The sequence below is a fragment of the Homo sapiens genome, chromosome 3 (genome assembly GCF_000001405.40).
Source record: "Homo sapiens chromosome 3, GRCh38.p14 Primary Assembly".
NCBI lineage: Eukaryota > Metazoa > Chordata > Mammalia > Primates > Hominidae > Homo > Homo sapiens.
The window spans coordinates 9807748-9809726 of NC_000003.12; the positions used below are offsets into that span (position 1 = coordinate 9807748).

Here is a 1979-nt window from a genome sequence, read left to right on the forward strand (position 1 = left end):
CCAGATTTGGCTAAGTTACTTCTATTTTGTGTCTCAGTTTCTTAGTCTATGAAGTGGAGATAATGAATATAAACAATCTGATACGGTCGCTGCTACACAGGTACTGACTGAACTATATTTTTTCCACCAGCCCAGTGGCTGGGCTGTTGAATAATTTCCAGTGTTCATGATGTTTATCCTTGCCTTGAGGCTTGGAGGTCCAGGAAAAGGGCTGGGTGTGTAAAAGGTTCACTGAAGTGTTTCATATTTAATATTGGAAGTCTGGGGGCCAAGGGGTAAATATAGGAGTGGGTGTCAGGGTAAGCTTCAAGAAGGGTGAACCTTTGAGCTGAGCTTTCAAAAGGGATTCCTCCAGATGGCCAGAGGGGTTTCTTCTGATGGGGTGGACAAGGTGATGTTAAAGGGAGGAGGGGGTAAGGGCAACTTGGAACAGCTATTGCCCCCCTCCTCCCCCCCCCTTTTTTTTTTTCATTTTTGAGACAGGGTCTCGCTTTGTTACCCAGGCTGGAGTGCAGTGGCGCAAGCATGGCTCACTGCAGCCTCAGCTTCCCCAGGCTCAAGTGATTCTCCCACCTCAGCTTCCTGAGTAGCTGGGACCACAGGCCTGTGCCACCACGCCCAGCTAATTTTTTTGTTTTTGGTTTTTGTTTTTTTTTAGGTCTCACTATGTTGCCTCGGCTGCCTTGGGTGATCCCCCCGCCTCAGCCTCCCAAAGTGCTATCATCTCCTTTATGACATTACCTCTGTGACCTACCTCGCCACCCCTCTGAATTAGGTGTTCCCTCCTCCAGGGCACATGGCTATGTTCTAGCTTTGCAGTGAATGTTAAAGGTGCTCACAGTGAAACTGGGTGACTAATAGGATATAGCAGCTGGTCACTCAACAACCCTCACAGGACAGCATTGCCTGGGTGAGCCAGCCACAAACCTCATTTGTCATGTATCTCTCTCCCAGGGTCCAAATTCCCTAAATCACCTTTCCTGGGGGGCATGCTTTTCGGGAAGTCCAGCCATCAGCTAAAGGGGAGTTGGGGTCAGCTGGACAGGAAGGTGGGGGATCCACCTTCACTCTTAAGAGCACATCTACCCAGTGACTGACAAAGCTGGGCTCTTACCAGGACACTCTTCGACTCTGCCTGCGGGGGCACTGCTAGAGTTTGCCTCTCAAACTGTCCCTGTGTGGTCCTTCTGTGACTGGCAGGCAACCTGAGTGATAACAGGTGTTTAAGAGACAGGCTTTGGAGTCAGACCTGGGTTCCAGTGCTGCCTCTGCTCTGTGATTTGAGGCAAATTGTTTAACATCTTGGAGCCTTACCTCCCCTGTGACTTTTGAGGATAATATTTTGCCAGTGCTTCCAAAAAGGTTGCTTACAGTCTTAGCCTGGGGGCCAGGCATAACTGTTGTGAACTATTACATTTCTTTCGCAGTTGACTCAAATGATTGTTTTTCCATTTCCAGTTTCTGGGGAGGGTGTGCTCTGCACCTTCTTGTTACCCCCATATGCTGCCCTCGCTAAGGACCTTACCCTAGGCCCATCTGCCAGGCCCAGCAGGTCTGATCTGGCCTCACCAGGCTCCAGCCACCCTGGCTGTCTTGTAGTTCGCACAGAGGTTCTTACCCTTCTCAGGGCTGTTGCTGGGACTGTCCCTTCCCTGAAGTGCAGTTCCTCCCCTTTCCCTGGTGACTCCTGACTCCTGGCATTTACACCTTCAGCTTAAATGCGCCACTTTATCTAAAATGCGCCCCCTTCCTGGTTTCACCTCTGCTTGTTCATTGCCCTTATTATACCTGTAAACTATTCTCTTCCTTTGTTACTTGCTTTTTATTCCCCTCACACTGGGCTTTTAGTAAGCTCCATGAGGTCAGGGGCCATTTGTTAGCGCCTATAAATACTGTGGAATCACTCAAACCCTAGGGCCGGTGGCACCAGGAAGTACTGGATAAGGAACCGCAACACTAACTAACTGGGGCTCAGTGCT

At 49.8% G+C, this 1979-nt stretch overlaps 1 protein-coding gene across 1 annotated transcript in view, besides 1 other annotated feature; it reads left to right on the forward strand.

The window, feature by feature from the left end:
* ARPC4-TTLL3 (ARPC4-TTLL3 readthrough) overlaps window positions 1-1979 on the forward strand; it is a 43809-nt gene that overhangs the window by 15200 nt on the left and 26630 nt on the right. The window lies entirely within an intron of this gene.
* Window positions 1587-1736: an enhancer, noted in NCBI's record as "active region_19410". NCBI's record gives its function as "activates an Ori minimal core promoter by ATAC-STARR-seq in GM12878 lymphoblastoid cells {active_cell/tissue: GM12878}" and the evidence as "EXISTENCE:reporter gene assay evidence [ECO:0000049][PMID:35858748]".